The sequence below is a fragment of the Homo sapiens genome, chromosome 12 (genome assembly GCF_000001405.40).
Source record: "Homo sapiens chromosome 12, GRCh38.p14 Primary Assembly".
Classification (NCBI taxonomy): Eukaryota; Metazoa; Chordata; class Mammalia; order Primates; family Hominidae; genus Homo; species Homo sapiens.
Window position 1 is genome coordinate 122545585 of NC_000012.12, and position 17264 is coordinate 122562848.

The window sequence follows — 17264 nt, forward strand, 5'->3', positions numbered from 1 at the left end:
ATCATAATCCTGGAAGAGGTCTTAAAAGTTCACTGCATGTCTTTAGTGCTAGTTGCCTAAATACGCTCATTAAATATTTATGTGAAGGCTGGCATGGTGGCTCATGCCTGTAATCCCAACACTTTGAGAGGCTGAGGTGGGAGGATTGCTTGCACCCAGGAGGTTGAGACCAGTCTCAGCAACATAGGGAGACCCTGTCTCTACAACAAATAGTAAATTAGCCGGGTGTGGTGATGCTCACCTGTAGTCCCAGCTACTGGGGAGGCTGAGGTGGGAGGATCGCTTGAGCCCAGGAGATTGAGGCTGCAGTGAGCTGTGATCACTGCCCTCCAGCCTGGGCAATGGAGTGAGACCCTGTCTCAAATTAAAAAAAAAAAAAAAATTGTAATAACCATGAATTCCAATAGTACACTGTTTTTTTCATTCTCTTCAGAAACCAAGAGAGGAACTGGAAGATGAAACCTAGTTAAGTTAGAATATGTAAATATATTTTAAAATTAGTAACCTATAAAACTTACATGTTTCTACTTTGAGGAAGGCTCAGGTCTAAGAATGAAATTTGCATTTTAAGTACTGTGTTCATTTTTCCAGGGAACCGGTAATTGTGCATTCTCAAAATGGGAACCAGATTCTTCCAAGAAAGGAATGACAGTTAAGAACCTTATTGATGCAGAGATTATTAAAGGTAAAATAAGTTAATGAAACTACTTTAGACAATTATTAGTGAGTTTTAATTTTTATGTCAGTGTACTTAGACTGACATATGGGTCATTTTACCCTACCACTCTTTGAAACAAGCCAGAATAGCTTGATGGTTGTTCACATACAGAACAGTTCTTGACATGTTACAGTTGTTACTCTTCATTTTGGGAGGTTTTACATTTTAGTAATCACCTAACAGAAATAGAGGCAGGAATAAAGGAAAATGGGACCTAGTAATTATGTAGTTCTGCCTTTCTGTGAATATGTTAGTTTTTTATTTAGATATATGAAATATTGAAATAAAATCCTGAGACATCTTATTTTCTCTTTTGTAGGTGCAAAGAAGTTCCAGCTGATAGACAATCTACTTTTTGTTCTTGATACTGATGTATGTTTCTTGTTTCTCCTTCAATGTTTTTACTTGATATGTTTTACAACAAAAATGTCAGACTTACAAAGGCAAGGGTTTTAGCTAGGGTGGATAACTATCTTGTGTACTGTGCTTTTTTTCAGTATATGTACCAAAAAGTTGATCCTGAAATGTAATTTTTTTTTTTTTTTTTGAGATAGAGTTTCGCTCTTGTTTCCCAGGCTGGAGTGCAATGGTGCGATCTCGGCTCACTGCAACCTCCACCTCCCGGGTTCAAGCGATTCTCCTGCCTCAGCCTCCTGAGTAGCTGGGATTACAGGCGCCCATCACCACGCCCGGCTAATTTTTTGTATTTTTAGTAGAGACGGGGTTTCACCATGTTGGCCAGGCTGGTCTCGAACTCCTGACCCCAGGTGGTCCACCCACCTTGGCCTCCCAAAGTGCTGGGATTACAGGTGTGAGCCACTGCGCCTGGTCTGAAATGTAAATTTTTAATCATTAAGAAGACACGTAGGCTAGGCGTGGTGGCTAGCCTACTAAAAATACAAAAAATACAAAAATACAAAAAATTAGCTGGGCGTGGTGGTGGGCGCCTGTAATCCCAGCTACTCAGGAATCTGAGGCAGGAGAATCGCTTGAACCTGGGAGGTGGAGGTTGCAGTGAGCCGAGATCGCACCATTGCACTCCAGCCTGGGCGACAAGAGCAAAACTCTGTCTCAAAAAAAAAGGACATGTAAATGAAATGTCTCTATTGCAGAACGTGCTGAGTTTATGGGATATTTACACTCTAACTCCTGTATGGAACTGGCCCTCTCTTCACGTAGAAGAGTTTCTTCTTACTACAGAAGCAGACTCTCCTTCATCAGTCACGTGGTATGTTATGACTATGGCTAGTAGTCATTTCCCTTCTGTTAGTACCAGGTATCTTGTCTGGTTTTGTTCAGGTCATTTATTATGTTTTACATTCTAAACAACACTGTGAAACAGTCTGACAGAGTAAAGACCGTTTGCAAAATTCACTGGGAACAGTTAGGCAATATGAACTTCCAAGTCATTTTGTTAGAAACTGTCAGTCTGGGCATAAACGTGCAGAAATGGAATACAGTGTCTATTACATTTTATTTTTTATGGAAGAGTGTTACTTTAGTTTATATCTTGTAATTGGCAAAGCCTACTTTTTTAATCAATAGATAATATTGTATGTTTTTGTTGTGTAAAAGTTTACTTGAATTATTTAAAGGTTCTTTTCTCTTTTAGGCAAGGAATTACAAATCTCAAATTAATAGCTCTGACAGCTTCAGCTAATAAGAAGGTATTGGAAAATTTTATTTTGTGCTTGCCTATATTATGTGTTAGAAAAAGCATTAGTGAATACAAAAGTAGATGTTAAATAGTACAGCATATTAGCTCTTAGTTCACACAGAAACTTGACAATCAGAAATAAACCTGCAGAACTCTTTTTAAAGTAAAAAGCTGTAAATCTTGACTCCATATTTTAAATGGAGCACTTCAGGAACCAAAAATGCCCATAGGAAAGTGTTTATTTTATTTTATTATTATTATTTTTTTGAGATGGGATCTTACCCTGTCCCCTGGGCTGTAGTGCTATGGCACAATCTCGGCTCACTGCAACCCCCCACCCCCTGGGTTCAAACGATTCTCCTGCCTCAGCCTCCCAAGTAGCTGGGATTACAGGTGCCTGCCGCCACACCCAGCTAATTTTTGTACTTTTAGTAGAGATGGGGTTTCACCATTTTGGCCAGGCCGGTCTCTATCTCCTGACCTGGTGATTTGCCTGCCTCTCGGCCTCCCGTAGTGCTGGGATTACAGGTGTGAGCCACTGCGCCCGGCCCAGGAAAGTGTTTATTAGAGTGACTCTTACGTAGTTCTGGCACTGAGGAATTACATTTCACCTTAAATACAAACTGTAGAATGGACTTCAGGTATATGTATGGATTTTCATTCAACAGAGTTGGAATATGGGGTAGAACATCATTTCATATGTAACATTTAAATCATATAGTAACAAGCTGGGTGCGTTGGCTCACACCTGTAATCCTAGCGCTTTGGGAGGCCAAGGCAGGTGGATCACCTGAGGTCAAGAGTTTGAGACCAGTCTGGACAACATGGTGAAACCCAGTCTCTACTAAAAATACAAAAATTAGCCGGGCTTGGTGGCGTGCACCTGTAATCCCAGTTACTCGAGAGGCTGAGACAGGAGAATAGCTGGAACCTGGGAGGCAGAGGTTGCGGTAAGCTGAGAGTGCACCAGTGTACTCCACCTGGGCAACAAAAGCGAAACTCCATCTCAAAAAAAGTAAAATAAAATAAGTCATACGGTAACAGACTTACTTATAAATGCTTATTTTTTGCATTTAGCTTTGTACTGTGTGTTTTATTTATTTATTTATTTAGAGACAGTCTCACTCTTTCACCCAGACAGGAGTGTGTGTAGTGGTGCAATCTCGGCTCACTGCAACCTCTTCCTCCCAGGTTCAAGCAATTCTGCCTCAGCCTCCCAAGTAGCTGGGATTACAGATGTGCACCACTATGTTCCAGCTAATTATTTTGGTATTTTTAGTAGAGACGGGGTTTCACCATGTTGGCTAGGCTGGTCTCCAACTCCTGACCTCAAGTGATCCGCCTGCCTCGGCCTCCCAAAGTGCTCCCATGTGTTTTTGGTTTTTTGTTTTTTATTTATTTTTATTTTTTGAGACAGTGTCGCTCTGTTGCCCAGGCCGGAGTGCAGTGGCACAATCTCGGCTCACTGCAACCTCCGTCTCCTGGGTTCCAGAGATTCTTCTGCCTCAGCCTCCCCAGTAGCTGTGATTATCCCAGTAGCTGTGATTACAGATGCACACCGCCACACCAGGCTAATTTTTTGTATTTTAGTAGACAGGGTTTCACTGTGTTGCCCAGGCTGGTCTGGAACTCCTGAGCTCAGGCAATCCGCCTGCCTCAGCCTCCCAAAGTGCTGGGATTATAGGCATGAGCCACCACGCCCAGCCGCTCCCATGTGTTTTAATCTGCTCTTAATTGTGAAGTGCTGTTTTGTACTTGCATGTTTAAATTGATCTGCTAAATTAATTGCTCTGCTATTTTTCTTAGATGAAAAACCTCATGGTTTATTCATTACCTACAATGGAAATACTATATTCTTTGGAAGTATCTAGTGTTTCTTCTCTGGTCCAAACAGGAATTAGCACAGTAAGTTTATTTGCATTTTAAAGTATTCTTTTAACTACTTTTTTCTTTATCTGGTATCTAATCAGGGATGATTAAAAGCCTTAATAATTAAGCTAAGCATTAGTGGAACCTAGTGGAAACCTGGATAAATTTCAGGTTTATAACTATATTTATTAATAGAGATCCTCAAATATACTTACTTGATAGTCTAAGGTTAGTCATCATATTAAAAAAAAAGTCAAAACATCAGTCATCTGCTTATTCTTCTTTCTTGTGTCTCTACAGGAAGTATAGATGATAATGGGAGATGGAGACTATTGCTGTTACATATTTATGTAACTAATTTACATATTTTAAAAATATTTTACCACATTTGTTTAATTTCTTTTTACACACACACTGTAGTTTTCCACATTTTGGAAATTACTTGTAGACATCATGCTGTCACGCCTAAATCTTCAGCAGGTATCTCCTAAAAATAAGGGCATTCTTCTACAATGCAATTATCATACTCAGAAAATGTAACTCAAATACAGTATTATTTATTATAAACTCTTCTAGATTTAAATTTTACCAATTGGGCCAATTACTTTAAAGCTATTTTTTTTTCTTATGATCTAATCAAGAATCACTCATCAAATTTAGGTCTCTGTGTTTTTGTTGTTGTTGTTGTTGTCGAGACAGGGTCTTGCTCTGTTGCCCAAGTTGTAGTACCGTCGCTCAATCATAGCTCACTACAGCCTCCAACTCCTGGGCTCAAGTGGTCCTCCTGCTTCAGCCTCCTGAGTAGCTGGGACTACAGGTGTGCACCACCAGGCCTGGCTAATTTTTACATTTTTTGTAGAGAGGTGGTCTCACTATGTTTCCTGGGCTAGACTCAAGCTCCTGAGCTCAAGTGAGCTTCCTGGCTCACCTCCCCAAATTGTTAATATTACATGTGTGAGCCATTGCATCTGGTCCATTTTTTGTCTTTTAAGACATTGACAGTTTTGAAGAGTCGCCACCCTGTGGTTTTGTAGACTGTTTCTCTATTTGGATTTGATTGTTTCATCATGATTAGATTCATGTTAAGCTTTTTTTGGCACAAATACTGCACAGGTAATATTGTTTTCTAACCACATCACGTTAAGAGGCTCATGGTATCCATTTGTCCTGTTATGGGTGATTTTAAATGTGATCATTTGGTTAAGGCAGTTCTGTCAGATTTCCCCATTTATAAAGTGTTTTTCCCTTAATAGAAAGTAACCTATGTGATATTATTTTGAGTCTATGGGATTTATATTTCCTAGCCATTTTTTCCCAGTGTTTTTTTTTTCCTTAAATTTTTGTGGGTACATAGTAGGTATTTATGGGATACCCAGTTGTTTTAAAGTCCATTGATGGATAATTCATGCCTGAACCAGTAGTTACTCTAGTAATTATAAAATGCATTGCTCTTATATTGGAATTTTAATCATGTTTTTTTGTTATTGTAGGATACCATATACCTTTTAGAAGGAGTTTGCAAAAATGATCCAAAGTAGGTCATGTTTTACCGTGTTAAGTAATAGCTATGTTAAATTTTACGTATTAATATTAAAAGACAAGCGCATTTATAGTTAAAATTTTTTCTAGATTGTCTGAAGACTCAGTCTCTGTGTTAGTACTCAGATGTCTTACGGAAGCTTTACCAGAAAACAGGTAACTTCTCATTTTTTTTTAAGCTTTATCCTTTAGTGAATAACTTAAATTCCCTGAATAATAAGCATTTAACAAAATTTCTCTTCCAACTTAACAGATTGAGTCGGTTACTTCACAAACACAGATTTGCTGAAGCTGAGAGTTTTGCCATTCAGTTTGGACTAGATGTTGAGGTAATCATTCATGTATTCATTTGTTCACCAAACAAGCATTTCGTCATGGGCTAGAGGCTGAGAGGACAGACATGTAATATATAATTGGAATTTAGTGTGATTAAGGCTGTAATTAAGATATGACTGAAGTTGATTAGAGATTCAGAGGAAAGAGTGACCCATAGTTGGGCAGAAAGATGTTACTGAGGAGGTCGTTTTCAGGTCAGGTCTTTTTTTTTTCTTTTTTCTTGAGATGGAGTCTTACTCTGTTGCCCAGGCTAGAGTGCAGTGGTACAATCTCAGCTCACTGCAACCTCCGCCTCCTGGGTTCAAGCGATTCTCCTGCCTCAGCCTACCGAGTAGCTGGGATTATAGGCATGCATCACCATGCCCGGTTAATTTTTGTATTTTTAGTAAAGATGGGGTTTCACCATTTTGGCCAGGCTGGCCTTGAACTCCTAACCTCCTCGTGATCTGCCTGTCTTGTTCTCCCAAAGTGCTGGGATTACAGGTGTGAGCCACTGCACCTGGCCTCAGGTCAGGTCTTGAAGGTGTTCCTGACAGACCAGGGAGGGGAAGGGATTCTGGGTACAAGGTCAGCATGGATAGAATGAGGGGGACTTGTGATGCTTCAGGAACTCCTGCTGATTAGGTGGGACTAGAATGTAGGTTATATGGGCAGCAGAGTAAAAGAAGATGATGATGATGCAGAAGTAGGGGCCTCTGTCACCCAGGCTGGAGTACAGTGGGGCGATCACAGCTTACCGCAGCCTTGACCTCCCAGGCTCAAGTGATCCTCCTGCTTCAGCTTCCCAAGTGGCTGGGACTATAGTTGCATACCACCATGCCCAACTAATTTTTAAATTTTTTGTAGAGACAAGGTTTTCCATGTTACCCAGGCTGGTCTTGAACTCCTGGGCTTAAGAGATCTGTCTACCTTGGCCTCCCAAAGTTTTGAGATTACAGTCCTAAGCCACCACTTGTGGCCAGGAGTGAGATTTGATTTTGCAGGTGATAGGAACCTGCTGACAGTTTTAAGCAGGAGAGTATCTTGATTAGGTTGTCATTTTAGAAAGACAAAGAATTTGGAGAAGGGTAAATACATTGGAACTAAGTACTTTTCTCTAGGAGACCTGAACCAGGGCAATGAAGTACAGATATAGGTGAGAGAGAAGGCTGATAAGAGAGGAATATAGGCCAGGTGCGGTGGCTCACTCCTTTAATTCCAGCACTTTGGGAGACAGAGACAGGCAGATAACCTGAGGTCAGGAGTTCAAGACCAGCCTGGGCAATATGGTGAAACCTAAAAATACTGTACTAACAATACAAAAATTAGCCAGGTGTGGTGGCACATGCCTGTAGTCCCACCTACTCGGGAGGCTGAAGCAGGAGAATCACTTGAACCCAGGAGGTGGAGGTTACAGTGAGCCAAGATCACACCACTGCATTCTATCCTGGGCAACACAGCAAGACTCTGTCTCAGGGAAAAAAAAAAAAAAAGAGGAATATAGTGGGTGGAATCAGCAGGACTTAGTGATCAAATGGAAGGAAGGGCAGGGGACTTGAGGTTGACTTGCTTTACTCTGGCTAAGCATACACATTGGGTGACGATGGCATGACCTGAAATGAGGAATATGTGTGGAAGAGCAGTTTAGGGATAAAAGATGAAAAGTTCTGCTTTATGAAAATTGGATGTGAGCTGAGCACAGTCGTGCATGCTGGTAGTCCTAGCTGCTCGGGAGGCTGAGGGAGGAAGATTCCTTGAGGTCAGGTGTTTGAGGCTATACTGCAATAAGATTGGCCTGTTAATAGCCACTGCACCCCAGCCTGGGCATCATAGTGAGCCTCTCATCTCTAAATTAAAATTAAAAAAAAAATGGATGTGAGGGGTCTGGTGAAATAGAGATGTCTAGTGGGAAGTTGAGGAGTGGCCTACACTGCTTCTAAGGGTCGGAGACACCAGTGTAATGGCTCAGATGACTCCAGCAAATGCAGAGAGTGAAAAGACATCTGAGGATGTGATGTGGGGGCAATAGCATATCAGGGATGGAGGAGGAAGGGCTGTACACATATTTGGGAAGAAATAAGGGAGAAAAACTGTAAGAATGTATGATTATGGAAGCCAAGGAAGCAGTAAGTTTTAAATGTACTGGGGAGTGATCAGCAGTTTCAACTACTACAGAGAAGATCAAGTATAAAAGCTGAAAGACATCTGGAGGATACAGCAATTAGGTCATTGATAATCCTTGAAAAGTCAGTTTTTGGGGAAGTAATAAGAGAGAAAGCCTTACTGTAGTTGGTTAAAGAATTAATATTTACTAAGTGGGTGCTTGCTACTCGTGCTTGTTTTAAAAAATATAACGGTTTTAAACATACAGAATACTTCCTTAAAAAAAAAAAAATATATATATATATATATATATATTTGTATTTTTTGTAGAGGCGGGGTTTCACCATGTTGGCCAGGCTGGTCTCGAACTCGTGACCGCAAGTAATCCACCTGCCTTAGCCTCCCAAGGTGCTGGGATTACAGGCATGAGCCACCATGCCTGGCCGAAAAATATATATTTATTTTTATATATATTTTGTAAACACAGGGTCTTGCTATGTTGCCCAGGCTGGTCTTAAACTCCTGACCTCAAGTGATCCTCCCTTCTCAGCCTCCCAAAGTGATGGGATTACAGGTGTGAGCCACCATACCCAGCAAGAATAATTCTGTGTATTGTTTAGAAATGTATACAAGTTAAGAGACAAAGTAATTAATGGAATTAGTACTAAATACAAGAATAATGTATACTTCTGGTTGGGAGGAAGAGGATGATGTATTTGGAAAGACAACAGTGGGATCTGAAACTATTGGTAACATCTGCTTTATTTTTAAAGCTAAAGGTGATGAGTACATTATTATTATAGTATTTATAATTTACATTATTACTTTTTTGAACATCTGAAAGATTTTAGAAGTAATGTTTAAAAAGAGACAGTGGAGCAAAAAAATCAAACCAAAACAGAAAATCTGTGAAAGAAATGAGGGGAATATTCATGAATTAAACTACTCTTTGTTATCATTTATAGTTTTCAGAACCAGAGAGTCCCTGTCAAAGTTGGTATTGTGTCCATAGGAAACAGAACCTGAAATTTGAGTATTTGTAACTCTAACCTTTAAAGAACTTTTAGTAGACTTAGAAAATTGGTTGTCTTTAAAAACCTGTTTCATGAGCTGGGTGGGCGTGGTGGTGTGCGCCTGTAGTCCCAGCTACTTGAGATGCTGAGGCAAGAGAATTGCTTGAGCCCGGGAGTTCCAGGCTGCAGTGAGCTATGATTACACCGCTGCATTTTAGCCTGAGTGACAGAGCGAGATCTTGTCTCTAAACAGACAAACAAAATCGACTCTGTAACTTTTGGACTGCATAATTTCAGACACGTTACTTAACCTTTCTTGGGTCTCAGTTTTCTTGTTTGTAAAATGGGGATATTAGTACTTACCCCATAGTGTCATGATGACATGTAAAAGTTTACTTCTTAGGTTATGATAATTTAAAAAGACAATTCATATAAATATCTTTCTTCGGTTGATAAATAATCATATATACTTGGCCGGGTGCAGTGGCTCACCTTTGTAATCCCACACTTTGGGAGGCCAAGGTGGGTGGATTACTTGAGGCCAGGAGTTTAAGACCAGCCTGGCCCACATAGCAAAACGCTGTCTGTACTAAAAATACAAATATTAGCTGGGCATGGCAGTGGATGCCTGTTGTCCCAGTTACTCGGGAGGCTGAGGCAGATGAATCGCTTGAATCAGAAGGCGGAGGTTGCAGTGAGCTGAGGTTACACTTACTGCACTCCAGCCTGGGTGACAGAGCAAGACTCTGTCTCAAAAATAAAAAAGAAGGGCCGGGCGCGGTGGCTCACGCCTGTAATCCCAGCACCTTGGAAGGCCAGGGCGGGCAGATCACAAGGTCAGGAGATCGAGACCATCCTGGCTAACACGATGAAACTCCGTCTCTACTAAAAATACAAAAAATTATCCTGGTGTGGTGGCAGGCACCTGTAGTCCTAGCTACTTGGGATGTGGAGGCAGGAGAATCGCTTGAACCCGGGAGGCAGAGGTTGCAGTGAGCCGAGATCCTGCTACTGCACTCCAGCCTGGGCGACAGAGCGAGACTCTGTCTCATAAAAATAAATAAAAAGAAAAACAAGAATGATTGTATATACTTTCGATGTGCAATGTGGTGATTTTATACATTTACATTGTGCAATGATTAAATCAAGCTAATTAACATAACTATCACCTCACTTATCTTTTTTTGTGGTGAGAACATTTAAAACCTACTCTTTTAGCAATTTTTTTTTTTGAGATAGAGTGTTGTTTTGTCTCCCAAACTGGGGTGCAGTGGCGCGATTTTGGCTCACTACAACCTCCACCTACCTCCCAGGTTCGTGTGATTCTCATGCCTCAGCCTCTCGAGTAGCTAGGATTACAGACGCGCACCACCACGCCTGGCTAATTTTTTGTATTTTTAGTAGAGACGGGGTTTTGCCATGTTGCTCAAGCTGGTCTTGAACTTCTGAGCTCAGGTAATCCACCTGCCTCGGCCTCCCAAAATGCAAGGATTACAGGTGTGCGCCACCACGCCTGGCTCTTTTAGCAATTTTGAAATATACATTATTACTAACTACAGTCATCATAGACCTCTGAAACTCATTCCTCCTTCTAACTGAAGCTTTGCAGCCTTGAAACATCTCTGACACCTCTGTATCCTCCCGCCCCTTCCCCTGGGCTCTAGTTGTCACCATTCTACTCTCTACTTTTTTTTTTTTTTTTTTTGAGATGGAGTCTTTCTCTGTTGTGCAGTGGCACGATCTCTGCTCACTGCAAGCTCCGCCTCCCGGGTTCAAGGATTCTCCTGCCTCAGCCTCCCAGGTAGCTGGGATTACAGGCGCCCACTAACATGCACTGCTAAGTTTTGTATTTTTAGTAGAAACCATATTGGCCAGGCTGGTATCGAACTCCTGACCTCAAATAATCCTCCTGCCTCAGCCTCCCAAAGTGCTGGGATTACAGGCGTGAGCCACCGTGCCCGACCTCTACTCTCTACTTTTATGAGTTTGACTATTTTAAGATTTCACATGTAAGTGAGATCATATAGTGTTTTTTTTTTATTGTGTCTGACTTATCTCACTTACCATAATGTCCTTCAGGTTTATCTGTGTTGTTGTTGGAAATGACAAATTTTCCCTCTTTTTTTTTTTTTTTTTTTTTTTAAATAGGGTCTTACCATGTTGCCCAGGCTGGGCTCGAACTCCTGGGCTCAAATGGTTGTCCTGCCTCGGCCTCCTGAGCAGGCTGGCACTACATCTAGCTTCTAGACTGAACAATATTTTACTGTGCAAATATACCACATTTTATTTATTCACTTATCTGTTGATGGATATTTAGATTCCATATCTTAGCTCATATAAAGCTCTTAGTAAGTGTACTGCTTGACACGTTTAGTAAGGACTCAACAGAAATGGTTCCCATACCTGCTAATAATCTGGTTCACCTCTCAGATATCTGAATGTTACTTTCTTTAAATCTCATTCCTGGAGCGCATGAGGATTCACCTTTTTGAAGTAGTTTGTTTCACTCAGCTTACTCTGAGAATAAGCCATCCACAGGTATTATTGTACTTCAAATTGCTTGATGTGGCGTGTTTATATTACAGCTTGTTTACAAGGTCAAGTCAAATCATATATTGGAGAAACTGGCATTGAGTTCTGTGGATGCCAGTGAACAGACCGAATGGCAACAACTTGTAGACGACGCTAAGGAAAATCTACATAAGATCCAGGTATGTTTTTCTTGTCACATACTACAGTATTTAGATTGACGTGTTGATCAACATTAGGTTGCCTTACTGTGTCTGGCATTTGTGAAACAGGATGATGAATTTGTGGTGAATTACTGCCTGAAAGCTCAGTGGATAACCTATGAAACCACTCAAGAGATGCTGAATTATGCCAAAACCAGGGTAGGTTCGTTTTTTTGTATTTTGTTTTTTTGGGGCAGGGGAGAATTTGCTTTAATCTCTCATAATCCTGCCTCAAATATATCTTTTCCTCCTATCCGCTATGTGTATTATTAATAAAAAAGTTTTTATAATAGCTTAATGGAGATAATTCACATCCTATACAATTCACCTATTTAAAGTATACAGTTCAGTGGTTTTTAATATATTCCTTGAGTTGTGCAAGCATCATTATTGTCAATTTTAGAACTTTTAAATCTCCCCAAAAGAACCTCTATCCCAGACCGGACGTGGTGGCTCACGCCTTAATCCCAGCAATTTGTGAGGCTGAGGTGGGTGGATCACCTGAGGTCAGGAGCTGGAGACCAGCCTGGCCAACATGGTGAAACTCCGTCTCTACTAAAAATAAAAAAATTAGTTGGGCGTGGTGGCACGTGCCTGTAGTTCCAGCTATTAGGGAGGCTGAGGCACAAGAATCACTGGAATCCGGGAGGCAGAGGTTGCAGTGAGCTAAAATTGTTCCACTGCTCTTCAGCCTGGGTGACAGAGCAAGACTGTGTCTCAAAAAATAAAATTAAGGCTATGTGCGGTGGCTTACTCCTGTAATCCCAGCACTTTGGGAGGCCAAGGTGGGTGGATCACCTGAGGTCAGGAGTTGAAGACCAGCCTGGCCAATATGGTGAGACCTCATGTTGTCTCTACTAAAAATACAAAAATTAGCCGGGTGTGGTGTCACGCGCCTGTAGTCTCAACTGCTTGGGATGCTGAGGCAGGAGAATTGCTTGAACCTGGGAGGCGGAGGTTGCAGTGAGCTGAGATCACGCCACTGCACTTCAGCCTGGCGACAGAGCAAGACTCCGTCTCAAAAGAAAAAGAAAAAATATTAAATTAAAAGATAAAACTCTTAAATGGCTGGGTGAGGTGTCTCATGCCTGTAGTCCCAGTACTTAGGGAGGCAGAGGTGAGTGGGTCACCTGAGGTCAGGAGTTCACCAGCCTGGCCAATATGGTGAAACCCCATCTCTACTAAAAATATAAAAATGAGCTGGGTGTGGTGGTGCACTCCTGTAGTTCCAGCTACTTGGCAGGCTGAGGCATGAGAATTGCTTGAACCTGGTAGGCAGAGGTTAGGGTGAGCCAAAACTGCGCCACAGCAGCCTGGGCAACAGAGTGAGACTCTTATCAAAAAACAAAAGAAAACAAAACCTCTATGCCATTAATAGTCATTCCCCATTTGCCCCAGTCCCCCAGCTTCAGGAAACCACTAATTTACCTCCTGTCTCTCTAGATTTGCCTATTCTGAACGGTTCAAATAAATGGAATCATATATGTCTCCTTCATGTCTGGCTTCTTTCACTTAGCATAATATTTTCAGGGTTTGGGCTGGGCACGTTGTTTCACGCCTGTAATTCCAGCACTTTGGGAGGCCGAGGTGGGCAGATCACGAGGTCAGGAGATCGAGACCATTGTGACGAACATGGTGAAACCCCGTCTCTACTAAAATACAAAAAATACAAAAAATTATCCAGGCATGGTGGCACGCACCTGTAGTCCCAGGAGGCTGAGGGAAGGTAATCGCTTCAACCTGGGAGGTGGAGGTTGCTTTGAGCTGAGATCGCGCTTCCAGCCTGGCAACGGAGCAAGACTCTGTCCCAAAAAAAATAAAAATAAAAAAAAATCTTCAGGGTTCATCCATGCTGTAGCACATGTCAGTGCTGTATTTCTTTTTATTGGCACATAATATTCTATTTTATGGATATACCACGTTTTGTTTCTCCATTTATCAGTTGATGGACATTTGGGTTGTTTATACTTTTTTCCCCCAATTTTGTTTATATTTTGTTAAAAAATACATAACATGAAATTTACCATTTTCACCTTTTTAAAAAAAAATATTTTATTTTTGAGAGGGAGTCTCGCACTGTCACCCAGGCTGGAGTGCAGTGGTGTGATCTCGGCTCACTGCAACCTCCACCTCCTGGGTTCAAGTGATTCTCCTGCCTCAGCCTCTCAAGTAGCTGAGATTACAGGCTCCCGCTGCCACCACACCTGGCTAATTTTTGTATTTTAGTAGAGACGGAGTTTCACCATGTTGGTCAGGCTGGTCTTGAACTCCTGACCTCAAATGATCTGCCTGTTTTGGCCTCCCAAAGTGCCGCAATTATAGGCATGAGCCACTGCGCCCGGCCTATCTTAAGCATTTTTAAATTTAATGGTATTAAATACATTCATAATCACATTCGGCCATCGTCCATCTCCCCAACTCTTTTCATCGTTGTGAAACTGAAACTCTGCCCATTAAACACAGACTTCCCATTTCTCCGTCTCCCCAGCCCCTGGCAAACCATATGCTGTCTATGTATATAATTTTGACTACTCTAAGTACCTTATATTAAATGGAATCATTTAATCATTTAAGACAGTACTTGTCTTTTGTGACTGGCTTATTTCACTTAGCATAATATCCTCCAGGTTCATTCATGTTGTTGCAAATGACAGAATTTCTTTCTTTTTTGTTTATCCATGGTCCCTGACTCTGACCCTAACCCTGACTTCTTTAGTTATTTCCACATTTTTGCTGCTGTGAATAATTCTGCTATGAACATGGGTGTACAGATGTCTATTTGAGTCCCTCTTTCAGTTCTTTTGAGCATATACCCAGAAGTGGAAATGTTGGGTCATATGCTAATTCTGTTTTTTTGAGACAGAGTCTCACTTTGTCTCCCAGGCTAGAGTGCAATGGCGTGATCTTGGCTCACTGCAACCTCTGCCCACCCCCCAGGCTCAAGTGATTCTCTCGCCTCAGCCTCCCAAGTAGCTGGGATTACAGACATGTGCCTCCACGCCCAGCTAATTTTTGTATTTTTAGTAGAGATGGGGTTTCACCATGTTGGCCAGACTAGTCTTGAACCCTGACTTCAAGTGATCTGCCTGCCTTGGCCTCCCAAAATGCTGGGATTACAGGCGTGAGCCACCACACTGGGCCCTAATTCTCTTTTAAATTTTTTAAGGAACTACCATGTTTTCCATGGTGACTGTGCCATTTCACATTTCCAGCAACAGTGCATAAGTGTTCAGATTTCTCCACCTTTGCTAACACTTTTTGTTTTTGAGACAAGGTCTTGCTTTCACCCAGGCTGGAGTGCAGTTGTAATGCATTGCAGCCTCAAACTCCTGGGTTCAAGCAATCCTCCTGCCTCAGACTCTCAAAGTGTTGGGATTGGGCCAAGCACAGTGGCTGTAATCCCTCCACTAATGTATGTAAGGTGGGAAGGTATGTTTTGATACCGTTTGTATATATTAGTCTTATGCCAAAGAAATAATTTTTTAAAAAATGGATTCTTGGCTGGGTGCAGTGGCTCATGCCTATAATCCTAGCACTTTGGGAGGCCCAGGAGAGCAGAGCACTTGAGGTCAGGAGTTCAAGAGCAGCCTGGCCAGTAAGATGAAACCCCATCTCTACTAAAAATACAAAAATAATTAGCCAGGCCTGGTGGCGCATGCTTGTAATCCCAGCTACTTGGAAGGCTGAGGCAGGAGAATTACTTGAACCCAGAAGGTGGAGGTTGCAGTGAGCAGAGATTGGGCCACTGCACTCCAACCTGGGTGACAGAGCAAGACCCTATCTCAAAAAAAAAAATAATAATAATAATAAATAAAAAATGGATTCTTTTTCTGTCATAGACCTTTTTTGGCATGCAATTTTTGCAATTGCAAATAATGTCATTTTTGCAATGACCTATGAGTATTTTTGCTATTTATTTATTTATTTGTAATTTTTTTTTTGAAACGGAGTCTCATTCTGTACCCCAAGCTGGAGTGCAGTGGTGGGATCTCGGCTCATGGCAACCTCAGCCTCTCGGGCTCAAGGGATTCTCGTGCCTCAGGCTCCTTAGTAGCTGGGACTACAGGTGTGCGCAACAGTGCCTGGTTAATTTTTTATATTTTAGTAGAGACAGGGTTTCACCATGTTGCCCAGGGTCATCCTGAACTCCTGAGCTCAAGCAGTCCGCCCGCCTCAGCCTTCCAAAGTGCTAGGATTACAGGCGTGAGCCACTGCCCCCAGGCAAATGCATTATTTTAAAAAACATGTCAGTTCTTTATAGTTTACTATTCATTTCACACTTAAATGCAATTTATTTAAAAAAATTTTTTGTTATTTCACAGAAAATCCATCATTTAGGAAATAAACAGTAGATATTCTTCTAACTGTATTTCTTATTATTCTTACTTAGCTTTTGAAGAAAGAAGATAAAACTGCTCTCATTTATTCTGATGGCTTGAAAGAGGTAATTACACTAGATTTCTAGGTTAATATGTGGGTGAATATACCTTTATAATATGTTTTCCATTCAAAATAGACCCGTATTTTATCAAGAGCAAGTTATTTCAATACCTTACTTTTCTTATCTGCAAAATGGTAATATTAATAGGTACTTACTTTATAAGGTCATTTTGAGATCAAAGGAAATAATTCATATAAACTGTTGTACATAGTACCTGGTACCTGCTAAACATTCAAATGAAGATAAACTGCGATGTTGATTATGATGGTGCTAAAATACATGTGTGTGTGCATGTGAGCATATAAATATTCAAATTCTTAGTTCAAATTAAGTATTGTAATCCAGCTGGATTTTACCATAAGAATTTAGAAATCAGTGAAAAAACTGATTTTAAAGAGTTCCTACAATTAATGTGTATGTGCCTTTATAATTGGATGTAATTGGAAATGTTTTTCTTATCCCATGTTTTGTGTGTGTGTGTGTGTGTGTGTGTGTGTGTGTGTGTGTGTATGTGTGTGAAATAAAGGCAGTCCTATGGGAATTGAGTTGTGATGTGAGATAAATGTGAATGTGTATAGACATGTGAAATGTAATGATTCATTTTTAATGTTTTAATTTCAATATTGTTGCATATAAATTCAGATTATTAAATTATTTTTTCTTCAGGTGCTAAGAGCTCATGCAAAATTGACTACTTTTTATGGAGCATTTGGACCAGAAAAATTCAGGTGTGTACATTTTTGTTAAAACTTTTTAGGCCAGGCATGGTGTCTCACGCCTGTAATCCCAGCACTTTGGGAGGCTGAGGTGGGCAGATCACCCGAGATCAGGAGTTCGAGACCAGCCTGGCCAACATGGCAAAACCCCATCTCTACTA

The 17264-nt window shown here is 41.0% G+C and overlaps 1 protein-coding gene across 11 annotated transcripts in view; it reads left to right on the top strand.

The window, feature by feature from the left end:
- KNTC1 (kinetochore associated 1) overlaps positions 1–17264 on the top strand; it is a 99148-nt gene that overhangs the window by 18336 nt on the left and 63548 nt on the right. For all 11 annotated transcript variants that reach the window (NM_014708.6, XM_006719706.3, XM_011539027.4 and 8 more), the window contains 12 exons: positions 592–685; positions 1038–1090; positions 1831–1946; positions 2331–2385; positions 4182–4280; positions 5735–5778; positions 5874–5939; positions 6037–6112; positions 11800–11925; positions 12016–12105; positions 16337–16390; positions 17054–17115. In NM_014708.6, coding sequence (NP_055523.1) covers positions 592–685; positions 1038–1090; positions 1831–1946; positions 2331–2385; positions 4182–4280; positions 5735–5778; positions 5874–5939; positions 6037–6112; positions 11800–11925; positions 12016–12105; positions 16337–16390; positions 17054–17115 — 935 coding nt within the window. The remainder of the gene's footprint in view (positions 1–591; positions 686–1037; positions 1091–1830; positions 1947–2330; positions 2386–4181; positions 4281–5734; positions 5779–5873; positions 5940–6036; positions 6113–11799; positions 11926–12015; positions 12106–16336; positions 16391–17053; positions 17116–17264) is intronic.